Source organism: Homo sapiens, chromosome 2 (genome assembly GCF_000001405.40).
Source record: "Homo sapiens chromosome 2, GRCh38.p14 Primary Assembly".
NCBI lineage: Eukaryota > Metazoa > Chordata > Mammalia > Primates > Hominidae > Homo > Homo sapiens.
The window spans coordinates 70,971,133-70,985,852 of NC_000002.12; the positions used below are offsets into that span (position 1 = coordinate 70,971,133).

The 14,720-nt window shown below is 48.4% G+C and overlaps 1 protein-coding gene and 1 long non-coding RNA gene across 7 annotated transcripts, besides 4 other annotated features; one reads left to right on the forward strand and one right to left on the reverse strand.

The window, feature by feature from the left end:
- Window positions 1-1,596: 1,596 nt before the first annotated feature.
- Window positions 1,597-12,999, reverse strand: LOC105374795 (uncharacterized). The gene is made up of 2 exons (XR_001739534.2): window positions 12,561-12,999; window positions 1,597-5,176 (listed from the first exon to the last, which is right to left on the reverse strand). It is a non-coding gene; the product is annotated as an uncharacterized LOC105374795 (long non-coding RNA).
- Window positions 6,128-6,397: an enhancer, noted in NCBI's record as "active region_16009". NCBI's record gives its function as "activates an Ori minimal core promoter by ATAC-STARR-seq in GM12878 lymphoblastoid cells {active_cell/tissue: GM12878}" and the evidence as "EXISTENCE:reporter gene assay evidence [ECO:0000049][PMID:35858748]".
- On the forward strand, window positions 7,313-14,367 carry ANKRD53 (ankyrin repeat domain 53). 6 transcript variants are annotated; one of them, XM_047445904.1, is made up of 7 exons: window positions 7,313-7,683; window positions 8,067-8,211; window positions 8,529-8,728; window positions 10,804-10,968; window positions 11,445-11,565; window positions 12,991-13,117; window positions 13,479-14,367. In XM_047445904.1, coding segments are annotated over exons 1-7 (930 nt in total). In that variant the 5' UTR covers window positions 7,313-7,513; the 3' UTR covers window positions 13,481-14,367. The 6 variants fall into 6 exon arrangements, with proteins under 6 accessions (XP_047301860.1, XP_047301861.1, NP_001356612.1 ...); NM_024933.4 differs by having other exon boundaries at window positions 7,498-7,683; window positions 7,965-8,211; XM_047445905.1 differs by lacking the exon at window positions 10,804-10,968 and having other exon boundaries at window positions 7,965-8,211.
- Window positions 7,425-7,514: a silencer, noted in NCBI's record as "silent region_11615". NCBI's record gives its function as "represses an Ori minimal core promoter by ATAC-STARR-seq in GM12878 lymphoblastoid cells {active_cell/tissue: GM12878}" and the evidence as "EXISTENCE:reporter gene assay evidence [ECO:0000049][PMID:35858748]".
- Window positions 7,875-7,934: a silencer, noted in NCBI's record as "silent region_11616". NCBI's record gives its function as "represses an Ori minimal core promoter by ATAC-STARR-seq in GM12878 lymphoblastoid cells {active_cell/tissue: GM12878}" and the evidence as "EXISTENCE:reporter gene assay evidence [ECO:0000049][PMID:35858748]".
- Window positions 13,202-13,749: an enhancer, noted in NCBI's record as "H3K4me1 hESC enhancer chr2:71211464-71212011 (GRCh37/hg19 assembly coordinates)". NCBI's record gives its function as "activates a minimal SCP1, AML or CMV promoter by ChIP-STARR-seq in naive H9 embryonic stem cells {active_cell/tissue: H9 hESC(naive)}" and the evidence as "EXISTENCE:reporter gene assay evidence [ECO:0000049][PMID:30033119]".
- Window positions 14,368-14,720: the final 353 nt, after the last annotated feature.

The window sequence follows — 14,720 nt, forward strand, 5'->3', positions numbered from 1 at the left end:
GCGCACTTGGGACATTCATCACCTTAAATATTTGTCTTGTCTTTATGCTAGAAACACTCAAATTATCCTCTCCTGGATATTTTGAAATGTACAATAGATTGTTGTAAACCATAGTCACCCTACTGATCTATCAAACACTAGGTCTTATTTCTTCAAGTTTGCCAAATTTGTTGACCTTTTTTAAAAACCAACTTTGAGGCCAGGCATGGTGGCTCATGTCTGTAATCCCATCACTTTGGGAGGACGAGGTGGAAGGATCACTTGAGCCCAGGAGTTCGAGACCAGCCTGGGCAACATAGTGAGACCTTATTTCTACAAAAAATTAAACAAAATTAGCTGGGCATGGTGGTATGTTCCTGTAGTCCTAGCTACTGAGGAGGCTGAGGTGGGAGGATCACTTGAGCCTGGGAGGTTGAGGCTGCAGTGAGCCAAGATTGTGCCATTATACTCCAGCCTGGGTGACAGAGTGAGATCCTGTCTCAAAAAAATAAATAAATAAAAAATAAAAACCGACTTTGAGTTTAGTTAATTTTCCCTGTTATTTTCATCAATCTCAAAGCAGTCTCTAATTTTCCTTGTGGCTTCTTCTTTGACCTATTTGTTATTTAGGAGTGAATTGTTTAATTTCCACGGATTCGTGAATTTCTCAAGTTAATTTCTTACTCATTTCTAATTTCATTCCCATGTGGTCAGAGAACGTTTCAATTATTTTAAACTTATCGGGTCTTGTTTTATGGTCCAGCATATTGTCTATTCTACAGAATGTTTCACGCGCACTTGAGAGGAATGTATACTCTGCTGTTGTTGGATGAAGAGTACAACAGATGTCTTTCAGGTTTAGTTGGTTGATAGTATTGTTCAAGACTTCTACTTCCTTGTTGTACTTCTGGGTACTTATTCTATCCATTACTGAAAGTGGGATATTGACGTCTTCAATTATTATTGTTGAATTGTCTATTTTTTCTTTCAATTCTGTCAGTTTTTACTTCCTATATTTTTGGACTCTGGTGTTAGGTGCTTATATGTTTATAATTGTTATATCTTTCTGATGGATTGACCCTGTTTTCATTATAAAATGTCCTCCTTTATCTCTAGTAACATACTTTGATTGTGGGTTTTATTTTGTTTTGATGTTCAAGTCTATTTTGTCTGACATTAGTGTAGCCACTTCATCTTTCTTATGTTTACTGTTTGCATAATATATCTATTTCCTTTTCAACCTACCTGTGTCTTTGAATCTAAAGTGTCTTCTGGGCTGGGTGCAGTGGCTCATGCCTGTAATCTCAACACTTTTGGAGGCCAAGGTGGGAGAATCACTTGAAGCTAGTAGTTTGAGATCAGCCTGGGCAACATAGTAAGACCCTATCACTACAAAAAATATAAATAAATAAAAAATAAAATGTCTCCCATAGACAGCATATAGTTGAATATTGACTTTTATCCAGTCTGACTGAGTGTTATTACTGATATGGTAGTATATACATCTGTCATTTTACTTTTCTTTTCTTTTTGTTTTATTTATTTCTGACTTCATCACTTTTCATTTTCTGTATATGTCATGTCTTTTTCATTCCTCTGTTTCTCCTTTAATCTTTCTTTTGCATTAAGTGAATATTTTATTATGTAACATTTTAATTCCTTCAATCATTTTCCATTCTATTTTTTTCAGTTGTTTTCTTAGTGGTTACTCTAGAGCTTACTCTATTCATTTTAGCTTATCAGAATCTATTTCAGATTTATACTAACTTAATTCCAGTGAGATACTGAAACATTATTCTTCTATTACTCAATTCCCTTTTCTAACTTTTTGTACTATTGTTATACATAGCGCATATATAATATGCAAATAATACATTGTTATAATATTGCCTTGTATAGTTTTATATCATTTAAAGAAGCTGAGAAGGATAGTAAATATATATTTATAGAGTATATTATATTAATCTTCTATACTATTTCTGGTTCTTGTTATTTGTTCTCACGGGTATGAGTTACCATCTGCTGTTATGTCTTTATTCCAATACAGATTTGCTCCCACCCACCTCATTTTTGTTGTTATTGTCAAATAGATTACACTTCTATACATTATAGGCCCAACAATACAATCATATATGTTGTTTTATACAATTTATTTTTAAGTCAGTTAAGAGAAGGAGAAGAAATATGCATTTATATTGTTTTTGTAATTACATAGTCATCTTTACCAGTGCTCTTTGGATTTGTTTTGTTTTTATTTTGTGAAGATTCAGATTATGGTGTGGGGTCACTTACTTCTAGTCTGAAGAACTTCCATTAGTAATTCTTGTAAGGCAGGGATGCTAGCAACAAATTTTCTGAGTTTTTGTTTGTCAGGCAATGTCTTTATTTTGCCTTTATTTTCAAAGATAGCTTTTCTGGATATAAAATTCTTGAGAGTTGTTTTTTGTTCAGCATTTTGAATATGTTACCCATTACCTTTTGGCCTCCATTGTTTCTGATGAGAATTCAGCTATTGATCTTATTGAGGTTCCCTTGAATGTGATTTGTTCTTTTTCTCTTGCTGCTTTGAAAACTTTGTCTCTCAGCATTTTTAGTATGATGAGCTTAGGTGTGGATATATTTGTGTTTAACTTACTTGGAGTTTGCTGAGCTTTCTTAAATGTGTAGATTAATCTTTTTCATCAAACTTGGCTAATTTTCAGCCATTGCTTCTTCAATTACTTTCTCTGCTCTTTTCTCTCATCTCTCCTTCTGGAATTCCCATTATGAGTATGTTGGTGTGCCTAATGGTGCCCCCCGACTTTTTTTGAGGCTCTGTTTTCCTTCATTCTTTTTTCTCTTTGTTCTTTGGATTGCATAATCTCTACTGCCTATCTTCAAGTTTGCTGATCGTTTCTTCTGCAAGTTCAAATCCACTATTGTTCCTCTCTAGTGAATTTTTTGTTTCAATTATTATACTCTGCAATTCCAGAATTCATTGGATTATTTTTTAATGGTTTACCTTATCGATAGTCTCTATTTGTTGAGAAATTGTCACCATACCTTCTTCTACTTTTTTAAATCATAGTTTCCTTTAGTTCTTTAAACATAGCTTTAATGGCTGGTTTGAAGTCTTGGTCTGTTAAATCTGATATCTGGCCTCTTTCATAGGCAGTTTCTGTTGTCTGCTTTTTTCCCCCTATGTATGGGTCATGTTTATTTGTATATCTCATGGTTTTTTGTTGAAAATTAAACTTTTTAGGAAATATATTGTAGTAACTCTGAATTCTGATATCCCTTCCCCCCTCTCGGGCTTGTTTTTGTTGTTTGCTTGTTTGTTTAGGGACTTGGATAGGCTCTCGTAGTGAACTCCTTTTTTCCCTCAATGTAAATCTGATTTAAGGGGTATGACTTGTTCTTTAGGGTTCCTGTCCTGAGCAGAGCTCCCCACCCCTACAATATAGTGGGCACCCAGACACCTGCCTTCCTCCAAATCTGGTCCCAAGAGGCAGACATTCCCTCTCCCACCCATTAGAACCTGTCTTTCAAATTTTTCTTTCTCCCCCAAAAGCATTATCCACTTCCTTCCAAATGGATACTCCAGGGTGCTGTTCTGAAAGTCCTGTTTCCTACCCCATTACCACCACAGCCAGAACCCAGACTCACCACTGGAGGACTCCCAATTCTCACAGCCAAGTTCCCCCACCCTGCTCCCATTCATGAGCGAGCACGCTGCCTGGCCACAGTGAAAGTGTCAGCTTCCACAGCCTAGGCCCATCTTAGGGTGTGTTCCTGCTCAGACAAATGGATCTCAGCACTCCAAGCATGATTCTTTAGTTTCACGTACCTGGCCATTTCTCTGGGGTGTACCACTCCTCCTGGAAGACAGCACAGGGCCAGGTTCCAATGTCCCCTGGGTCTTCACAGTGCCCCTAGCCCACACAGCTCTTTTCTGGGACTATCCCACTGGTTCTAATTCTTTTACCCAATAGAGGCTTTAACCTCAGGAGTTTTTACTAGTCAAGCTTCAGTTGAAAGTGACAGAAGCTCAATCTAAACTAGCTTAAGCTTCAAGAGGATCCTGGGGTGGTTTAGAGAATAGATGAGGAGCATCTGGCCTTGGGCACTGGCCCTGGAGTGTACAGACAGTGCCTCTCTAGGTTCTCCCCCAACTGCTCCCTGATGGACCTGCTCCCCTCAGCCTTCCATCTCCCTTGCCTGGAGCTGTAGAACCAGTTAATCTGGAGCCACACCCTTACCATCACCTTCCAAAGAAGAAATTGAACCCTTCTCTGGGCATTTTCTGCTGTCTGCCCTTCTCATGGTCCAGCTTCTGTTGTTCCACCAGGCGTTATCTGTTTGCCCAGCTGCATGGCTGTGACCAAGGGTCTTTAGGATAACACATTCTCTCCCCCCGGGGACTCTGCTAGTTTCCTGTTTCTTCCTCCCTTACTCTATTGACCCTTCTCCCTCAAAATCACCTGCAGCCTCTTGCCTCCCTGACTGAGGCAGAAAGGCCTTAAAGTGGTTCTCAACCCTGGCTACACACGAGAATCACCTGGAGAACTTTACAAATACCAATGCCCAGGCCCCAAACCAGATGAATTAATCAGAATCTGTAGGGGTAAGACCCCTGCATTGGTGTTTGTACAGCCAGGGTTGCAAAACACTGGTATAGAGATGTAAGATACCCCAGTTCAAGATAGTGAGGATGAACTTGGAGAGGTACTGAGATGCTCTCTCCAACCCCACCACATACACAGGGTCCTGTTGTAATTATTAGAATCCTAACACCCCAGAAGCAACAATAGCCCAGGAAATCTTCAAACTGTATCCCTGAAAAGCACTGTCACTTTATCTCAACTTGAAGCCAGTTGCTAAGGCCCTACCTGGGGCAGATAGCCAGCATGATTTGCTAGTTTTGAAGGTGTTTGCCAGGTATGCTGAGTCCTGGCTACTGGGGTTGGCAGACAAGTGCGCTCTCAGAAGACAGTACCCTGGAAAGGGAGAAACGTGATTCTGGGTGGATAATCTGTATTCTTGTCCCTCTCTGCAGGTCACTGTGGTCTTAGGGGACCTTCTGTCCTTTTCTTAGGGGAAATACCTGGAACGCTGGGGTACAGAGGAGAGACCATGGTAGGGGTGGAGTGATGTAGTCAGATATGCCCAGAGTTGACCCTGGAGCCACAGGAGCCTTCTGATAAACTTGGGGTCATTCCTGTTGAGAAGGGATGAGAATGTGGATGGCTCAGTAAGACAACACTGATTCAAGCAACAGTTATTGCTTAGCTACTCTATATTCTAAAAAGTCAAAAGGCAAACTGAGGAAAATATTGACAACAAATATAACATACATAAAGGGTCACTATGCTAATAAGTTTTACAGATCAGTAAGAAACACATTAAGGCCCTCAAAGAACCATGTGAGTAAAAGAATTCCTAGAAGACAAAACCACTGATAATTAAATGTTTAACCCTTGTTGGTAATCAAAGAGCCACATTAGAACATCATTTCCACTACCAAATTAGTGAACATTTACTTAAAATCCTAATATCTGATGCTAGCAATGGTTTGAATAGTTCTTCTTTGAGTAATAGCAGATTCACAGGTAGTGCTTCTCTGCTAGCACTGTTCTCATTGTTTGCATTCCTTCATTCCTTGTAAAGTAGGTGCTATTATCCCCATTTTGCTGCTGTAGCAACTTGTAGGGACCAGCCCCACAGGGTGGGTGGGTTTTTCTCCCCGTGTGCGGAGATGAGAGATTGTAGAAATAAAGACACAAGACAAAGAGATAAAAGAAAAGACAGCTGGGCCCGGGGGACCACTACCACCAAGAGGGCAGAGATCGGTAGTGGCCCCGAATGCCTGGCTGTGCTGTTATTTATTGGATACAAGGCAAAAGGGGCAGGGTAAGGAGTGTGAGTCATCTCCAATGATTGATAAGGTCACGTGAGTCACGTGTCCACCGGACAGGGGGCCCTTCCCTGCTTGGCAGCCGAGGTGGGTGGGGGTGGGGGCGGGGACAGGGGGAGGGAGAGAGAGAGAGAGAGAGAGGACAGCTTACGCCATTATTTCTGTGTATCAGAGACTTTTAGTACTTTCACTAATTTTGCTACTGCTATCTAGAAGGCAGAGCCAGATGTACAGGATGGAACATGAAAGTGAAACAGGAGTGTGACCGCTGAAGTACAGCGTCACAGGGAGATGTTTAGGCCTCCAGATAACTGTGGGCGGGCCTGACTGATGTCAAGCCCTCCACAAAAGGTGGTGGAGTAAAGTCTTCTCTAAACTCCCCCTGGGAAAGGGAGACTCCCTTTCCCGGTCTGCTAAGTAGCGGGTGCTTTTCCTTTGCATTGATGCTACCGCTAGACCACGGTCCGCCAGACCAGGGTCCGCCAGACCACGGTCCACTTGGTAACCGGCGTCTTCCCAGACGCTGGCATTACCGCTAGATCAAGGAGCCCTCTGGTGGCCCTGTCCGGACATAACAGAAGGCTCGCACTCTTGTCTTCTGGTCACTTCTCACTATGTCCCTTTGGTTCCTATCTCTCTATGGCCTGGTTTTTCCTAGGTTATGATTATAGAGCGAGGATTATTACAATATTGGAATAAAGAGTAATTGCTACAAACTAATGATTAACGATATTCATATATAATCACGTCTATGATCTAGATCTAGATCTAGTATAACTCTTGTTGTTTTGTATATTTTATTATACTGGAACAGCTTGTGCCCTCGGTCTCTTGCCTTGGCACCTGGGTGGCTTGCCGCCCACAGAAACTAAGTCAGATAACTTGCCAAAAGCCACACTGCTGATGTGCAGCGCACCCGCTTCACTGCAGGTGGAAGTGGAAGTGAATAATAACCTTCCTGGAAGGCAGTCTGCAAGCCCATATTGACAGCTGAAAAATATTCATTCCCTTTCACCTAGTGATTCGACTCCCAGGAATCCATTCTAAGAAAACAACCAGAGTTGAGCCATTTCGTTCTTGGCAGCACATGTGAAACAATGGCACATCCATTATGACGCTGGGCTCTGGTTGCGTCATAATGTACGTTTAGTATGTGGAGTGACAATGGGCGCTAGCTCGTAATATAATGCTATTAATAAACGAAAAGAGATACAAAAAATAGTCATGATATGCATATATATTGCAATAAACCATGATTTCTGTGCGTGGTGGGATGGTAATTTTTAATTTCCACATTGAATATTTCTGTTTTCTACTTATTAGTTTGATAATCGGAAACAAAAGCCAAGTGTCTTTGTTGTTTGTGTGTTTGATGCTGAGTTTCCCGGGCAGCAGGACTGGGAGGTTGAGTGGGGGTTTTGGCTCAGACCGGGAGCAGAGCGGCGGGTGGGGAGCGGCAGGCGGGCAGGGTCCCCGGAGGCCCCCGGGCTCTGCCCCTCCAGCTAGAGAGGCAGCCGAACCCTAGCGGCCTGGAAGGGGCCGGGAAACCGCGGCCAGCTGGCAAGGAGTGGCCCCCGGGGGCGGGGCGCCGGCGGGTGTGTGAGTAGCCCGCCCGGCCCGGGTCCGAGTTCCAGCCCCGCGATGGCCTCCGCGGGCAGCACCGCTCGGCGGGCGGGCTCCGGAAGCTGGCACTCAGAAAGGGGAGAAGGGAGAGGTGCTCGGCCGCAGCCAACTCCAAGTGGCTCCATGCAGCAGGCGAACAAAGTCTCCTTGAAGGCCACCTGGACTGACGCGGAGTCCAAGCAGCCCAGGTGGGTAGCGGGAGAAGGTGTCCCGGCTGCAGGGAGCGAGAACCCGGCCCAGCGCCTCCCTGGTGGGCAGGGCCTGGAGCGGGCGGGGGCGGAGGCTGCGGCCCGAGAAGCCAGCAGAGACAGGCTGGGGCCAGGGATCGCCTCCCGAGAGGTGCCTAGGCCGTGGCCCAGAGTCGCTTCCCCACTGCCCCGCCCACCAGCCAGGCGGGGGCCAGGGATCGCCTCCCGAGAGGTGCCCGGGCCGTGGCCCAGAGTCGCTTCCCCACTGCCCCGCCCTCCAGCCAGCCCCTGCCCGACCTCGCAGACCACCTCAGTGCGCAGGCGACTGCCCTCGCCAGGCCGCGCCGCCCTGCCTCGCTCACCCCGCCCCGCGCTGACCCCAGCCCCAGCAAGGAGTCCGACCAGACGGCAATCGACCAGACGGCGATCGGGAGCTACTACCAGCTGTTCGCAGCGGCTGTGGGCAACGTGGAATGGCTGCGATTCTGTCTGAACCAGAGCCTCAGGGAAATCCCCACCGACGACAAGGTAAGGTCTTGAGTGTTGGGGCAAAGACCGAGGTCCCTCTCCCGCTACGCTGCTCGGAGTGGTCACCTGGAGAAGAGATATCCTTTTCTGGGTAGATCTTCCTAATTTAACTCATCTTCTGGCTGTGGAAGGACCATTTTGGGGGCAGGGAGGTTGGGTGGGCTGATGAACACACACTGGTTAATTAGCAAAAGGGTGTGAGCATTCCTGGGGACACAGGGAAGAAAGTGAAGGTAACCCCAATAAATTTATATAAATTGTGGACCCTGGGACCTCAGTCCCACTCAGCCTCCTCCTGCCTGCTCTGAACCTCACAGGGCTTCACTGCCATCCACTTCGCCGCCCAATGGGGCAAGCTTGCATGCCTGCAGGTCCTGGTAGAGGAGTACAAGTTTCCCGTGGACCTGCTGACCAACAATAGCCAGACACCCCTGCACCTCGTCATCCACAGGGACAACACCACCGTGGCCCTCCCCTGCATCTACTACCTGCTGGAGAAAGGCGCAGACCTCAATGCGTGAGTCCAGCCTGCTTCAGGAGGGAGGCTTCGGGCACAGGCACGGGCACAGCCCTACTTCCAGGCAGGCAAATCCATGCAGGACAAGCAGAGGGGTTGCTGGAGGTGACAAGGATTGGGTCCCACATAAAGCAGTCAGGAATCCACATGGTGTAATAAAGAGACTGGGCTTTAGCCGGGCATGGTGGCTCATGCCTATAATCCCAACACTTTGGAAGGCCGAGGCAGGCGGATCACCTGAGGTCAGGAGTTCAACACCAGCATGACCAACATGGAGAAACCCCATCTCTACTAAAAATACAAAATTAGCAGGGCATGGTGGCGCATGCCTGTAATCCCAGCTATTCGGGAGGCTGAGGCAGGAGAATTGCTTGAACCCAGGAGATGGAGGTTGCGGTGAGCTGAGATGGTGCCATTGCACTTCAGCCCGGGCAACAAGAGCGAGACTCCGTCTCAACAAAAAAAAAAAAAAAAAAAAGATTGGCCTTTAACAGACCTAGTCTACATCCCAGCTCTGCAACTTGCTAGCAGACAGCAGGACCTTAGGCAAGTCACTCAACCTCTATGCCCCAGTACTCTGGCTCCCAAACTTAGGTGTACATTGGAATTACCTAGGGAGCTTAAAAAATATGAACACCTGGCCGGGTGGCATGGTGGCATAGTCCCAGCTACTTGGGAGGCTGAGGCAGGAGAATCGCTTGAACCCGGGAGGTGGAGGTTGCGGTGGGCCGAGATTGCTCCAATGCACTCCAGCCTGGCAATAGAGCGAGACTGTCTCAAAAAATAAAAAATAAAAAAAATTAGGCTGGCCGCAGTGGCTCACGCCTGTAATCCCAGCACTTTGGGAGGCTGGGGCGAGCGGATCACGAGGTCAGGAGATCAAGAACATCCTGGCTAACATGGTAAAACCCCGTCTCTACTAAAAATACAAAAAAGTTAACCGGGCGTAGTGGCGGGTGCCTGTTGTCCCAGCTACTTGGGAGGCTGAGGCAGGAGAATGGCGTGAACCTGGGAGGCAGAGCTTGCAGTGAGCCAAGATCGTGCCACTGCACTCCAGCCTGGGCGACAGAGCGAGACTCCGTCTAAAAAAAAAAAATTAAAAAATATAAACACCTGTGTTCCAATCCAAAGGCTGTGATTTAATGGGTCTGTGGTGTGACCTGGGCTTGGGAAGTCAGAAAAGATCCCCAGGTGCTTCTAACTTGAAGCTAAGTTTGGGAACCTCTGTCTCAGTGTCTTCAACTGAAACTTGGGAGAATAGCAGTACCTATCACATGGGACTACTGTGATCACTGAAAAGTGCATGGCATATAGGAGACTGCATTCATTCAAAGTATCAAGTATGCACTATGTGCTAAGCACTATGCTAGAGTCACAGAAATGGTCCCTCTCCTCACGAAGCTGACATTCTAGTAAAGGAGCAGACAGTGAATTAGCAAACAAATAAATGAACAAAATCCTGACAGAGCATGGGAAGTGGTTATGAAAAAATAAACGGGGTGATGGTGTAGGGGGTAAAGCAGGTAGGGGGAGGATCTATTTTGGATGAAGCAATCACCTCTAAGGAGGTGACATTTAAATTGGAACCTGAAGACAGAGTGAGCCAGCCATGCAAAGAGCCAGGGAAAAGTGTTCCAGGTAGAGGTAACATCATATGCAAAGACCATGTGTTGGGAAAGAGTGGGCAAGGTCAAAGGATAAGATCGAGGAGGTTAGGCCCAGGTCATGCAGATCTTGTGGGCATACGGAATCTGGTGAGGCATAGGGAAAGGGCAGGGGGCTGGTTGGTTTAAGAGTGGATGAGGTTAGTGGTCTCTGAACCAAGCCAGCTCTCCTTCCAGCAGTTCTTAACTATCACATACCTTCTAAAGTCAGATTTTTACTGTTCACTTAGTCCAATTCCTCCCTTTACAGTAAAGGAAATTGAGGTGCCAAAAGGGACAGACATAGCTAGGATCACCCAGTGGACTGATGGTAGAGCAGGGCTTGGAAACTGGTGTGTCCATCTATCTGATGGACAGATGCTCTTTGTCTTTCCTTTCTGCCCTTATCCCCACTGGTGGGGCCTTCCACAGTCAGACATGCAACGGCTCCACGCCCCTGCACCTGGCAGCCCGTGACGGCTTGCTGGACTGTGTGAAGGTCCTGGTGCAGAGTGGCGCCAACGTCCATGCCCAAGATGCCATGGGCTACAAACCCATTGACTTCTGCAAAATATGGAACCACCGTGCCTGTGCCCGGTGAGAGTGTGAGAACCACCTGGAGCCTGCCCACCCCCTTCCCCTCCCCCAGCCTTTTCCCTAGGGCCCTCACCACAGCTGAGCCTTTAAGGGGAGGGTTGGGAAGCCAGACAGCTGGAGGATGCGCCTACTGCCCAGGATATTTTGGATGAGGCAATCACCTCATCACCTGGGCTTGGGGGTAAGTCTGCCCAGGTCCCCTGCTCTCTGGGTTGATCACTGCCCTCCTTTCCTGCCCTGGGGCCCCTGGCTCCTCAGCAGGAGGGTGGTGACCAGGTCATCAAGGACTTTCGTCTTTCACCTAAAGGAAGTAGGGAGCCAGAGGGCCCCGGGCAATGGGGATGGCTCATCTTGCTCCTCTCCCTCTGGCCACTCCCCTCATCCCCATCCAAGCCCTCAGCAGCAGCCAGTCTTCCCAGCCCAGGTGGAAGCTCTGTCACTGTGGGATGACACCCCCGCCCTGACCTTGGCACCAGGTTCTTGAAGGATGCCATGTGGAAAAAGGACAAGAAGGACTTTGCCCGTGAGATGACGAAAATGAAGATGTTCAAGAGCCAGCTGACCCTCATGGAGCACAACTACCTGATTGAGTATCAAGTAAGGGGGACAGCAGGGGGGCCAGGGGACAGCTGCTATCCAGGCATGTGAGCAGAGGGGGCAGTGACCCACATATTGTGGAGGAGTGGCTAGAAGCACTCCCACCCTGAAAGAGCCACCCTTTCGCCTGTACTCCCACCGGGTACTCTGACTGAAATTCCGCTCTTTTAAATAAGCCAGTCTTTTGGTCAAAAGTCTTATCCTGTGTTAGAAAGCCAATTTAAGCAAGCTTAAATTCGCAAGTATTTCTGGGCCCCTCCTAGTGTACTGCCTCTTTCAGGATGAGAACCTTCAATGAGACCAAGGCACTGCCTGTAACTGGGGCTCACACTCTGGTTAAAAAGATCCACCCTTCCTTCCAGCAGGCACTGGGCATTCACTCTGTGCTAGGAACCTGCTAGACCCTGAGGTCTAAAGATGAACAATATGTGGTCCCCACGCTCAAGGAGCTTAGAGTCTAGCAGAGGAGGCAGGTTACAGGCCCATCAAGGAGGAGAGGGTCCAGGAGGGTGTCAGGAGGCATGATGCTTAAGAGGAGTCTTGAAAGATGCGCAGCAGTTGGCTATATGAAGGAGGGAAGGGCTAACCAGGCATAAAGAGCAGCCGCATGGAAAGGCATAGAGGCACCTGGGAACATGATGTATGCAGAGAATGAAAACTCAGAGCAGCTGGGGATCAGATGTAAGTTGGAGGCTGACAAGATTTGGCAGGAGCCCACATCAGTGAAGGACCTTGGCTGGGGAAGAAAGGGGATTTTAAGCAGGTGTAATTACATAGGGTGCAAAACCCAGAAAACTCAGAAGATACTGGGAATCTTAAGTGAATCCTGAAATGGGGAGGGCTTTGGGGCTGCTGACTCCGGCACACCGGGTCTGTTTCAGTTCCATTTCTCTCCAGTTCTCAGCCCTATCCTCCTCTGATGTCAGGGTCACCAGTCCTCAGAGTCACACACTGTCCAGAGGAGGCAAGGCCCATCTGTTTCCTGTAGCTCTAACCTTTTCCAGAAGCTCCTTGCATCTTCCCTCATCTCTTATGGCCTCAATTCGATCAAGTGTCCATTCTCGTTCCTTTAGCTAGAACTAAAGGAAAGCCATATGCTGACTGACTTAGGTCTGGGGCAAGGTCTGATGGAATTATGATGATTGGCTTAGCCCAATCAGAGCCTGTGCCTGGAGCTGGGTCAATCTCCAAAGCCTCTGATTGCTTAGCAACAGTCTGGGATAGTGAGACAATGGCGGTGGGGGAGGTTCTATGACAATATATGGAAGGCTCCGTGGAGGCAAGGACAGAGCTAGATTGAGTTGCTGCCACCGGGCCTGGAGAGCCAGCCAACTGTATCCTCCCTACATGACTTCTCAAGGCCCACCACTTCCAAGAAGCGTGTCCACATCAGGCCATCCAGTCCTTTCTGCTTTCTCTTTCCAGGGTCAAGGATGCAGTGTGCACTTCCCATTTGCCTTTTCCCCCATCACACCAGAGACTCTCCTATGGCAGGACATTTCTCTACTATCAGACTGTGGATTCCTTTGGAGAAGAAGGGAATTGTCTTTCTGTAAGACTTGAGGTTTTCCCTAGGGCAGGGACTGTGTCTCCCATGTCAAGTTGGAGTCTCACCTAGGGCAGAGGCTACATCTCTCCCATCAGATTGGAGATCCCCCCTTTGGGAGAGGTGCTTTGTCTCCCCACTCAGCCCAGGGGCTCCCTTATGGAAAAAGTTGTCTCCCCCATCGGAACACCGGCTCCCATAAGGCAGGTGTTGCTTCCATCAGACTCAGACTTTCCCTCCCATCAGACTCAGAGTTTCCCTCATCCTTCAGACTGTGGTTTCCGAAAGCTACAGCCACAGGACCTCCTTGCCCAGAAGCAGAGGGCAGCAGTCCTCCATGACTCTCTTGTGCCCTCTGTTGTTGCAGAAAGAGCACAAAATTCTCAGAGAAGCTGCTATCAGAAAGTGGCTCCACGGCAAGCTGCACCCAGGCCACTCTCTGGTCTCCAATACCAAGCAAGCCCGGGCCACCGCCCTCTCCAAGACCCCAGAGCAACGGGAATCGCAGCGTTCCAGGAGCTTCCACCCCTCTGTGGATGCACGCCTGCAATGCATTCCACAGCCCACGGAGATGCCCAAGCCCATCTACAGGAAGCCCACGGTCAAGCGGCCCACAATGTGGAATGTTAGCAACAACCCCGCCAGACCCCCCACCACCCAGATCAGCCACTCGCAGGGCATCCGCCTGGGCGTGCATCCAGACCCCACTCCGGAGCACGACTTCAGCAGCTTCCTGGAGGTGAGGCCTGATGGGCACGGCGGTGCGCGGCTGCACACAGTGGACGGCCACTGGGTGGCGCCCGTGCCGCGGCTGCCTTTTGAGGTGCTGCTGCGCATGCTGTACCCACGTGTATGGCCATACAGAATGAAGGTGCCCCAGGGCTTTTACCCCATCAGCATGAGGGAAGTGCCCAGGAAGCGGCACCTGGGTGACAACACCTTCTGGACCGACACTCTGGCCATGAACCTGCGTGACACATTCGATGAAGCCTTCCTGGCAGCTGTGCGATCTCATCAAGGACTCCCCACCCTGCCCTCCCCACAAACCAACCCATAAAGTTATTATGGCTACCTCTCCCCCTGAGGCAGCCCAGTGAAGGCTGAAGTGTGGCAATTCACGTTGTGGGTGGCGAGGAAAGGGGGAGGGGTGCCTATGGGCTTCCCACTCCCAAGCTCGAGGAGTCACCCTTCCCAATCAAAAGCCCAGACCCCAGGCCTCCCTTTTCTCTGCAAATAAATCTCTTGGCACCCCCCCACCGCCGCCAGGAAATCCAAGTTAGGTTGAGAGTGGGGGGTCAGACACTATTCTTCACCTTGGCATTGTAAAAGTTGTCACATTTTGGCACCCCCACTGCCCTCCCAGCCCTAAGGGCCCAGGCTTCCAGGATGGAAGGACCCACTGGGAAATTCTGTTTCTTGTTCAGATTAAGCCCTTCCTGCTGCAGGCTCTAAGCTGAGACCCAGAATGGGGTGGAGGGCAACTAATATGTCCCCCTGGCATGGGCTTCCCTGCTACTCTGGGCTGCCATCCTTATTCCCAGCGGCTACTGAGGTTTCTGCAGTTCAGGGAGGCATGGGCAGTACATCAAGGGAGGGGAGGGATGTGTGG

What these genes read in the sequence shown, in the direction of transcription:
- ANKRD53 (NM_001115116.2), top strand. Translation starts at nt 7,514, where the DNA reads ATGGCCTCCGCGGGCAGCACCGCTCGGCGGGCGGGCTCCGGAAGCTGG. An exon ending in GCGGAGTCCAAGCAGCCCAG is followed by an intron (nt 7,684 to 7,964) that starts GTGGGTAGCGGG and finishes CCCGCCCTCCAG; the next exon opens with CCAGCCCCTGCCCGACCTCG. An exon ending in AACCACCGTGCCTGTGCCCG is followed by an intron (nt 10,969 to 11,444) that starts GTGAGAGTGTGA and finishes CCTTGGCACCAG; the next exon opens with GTTCTTGAAGGATGCCATGT.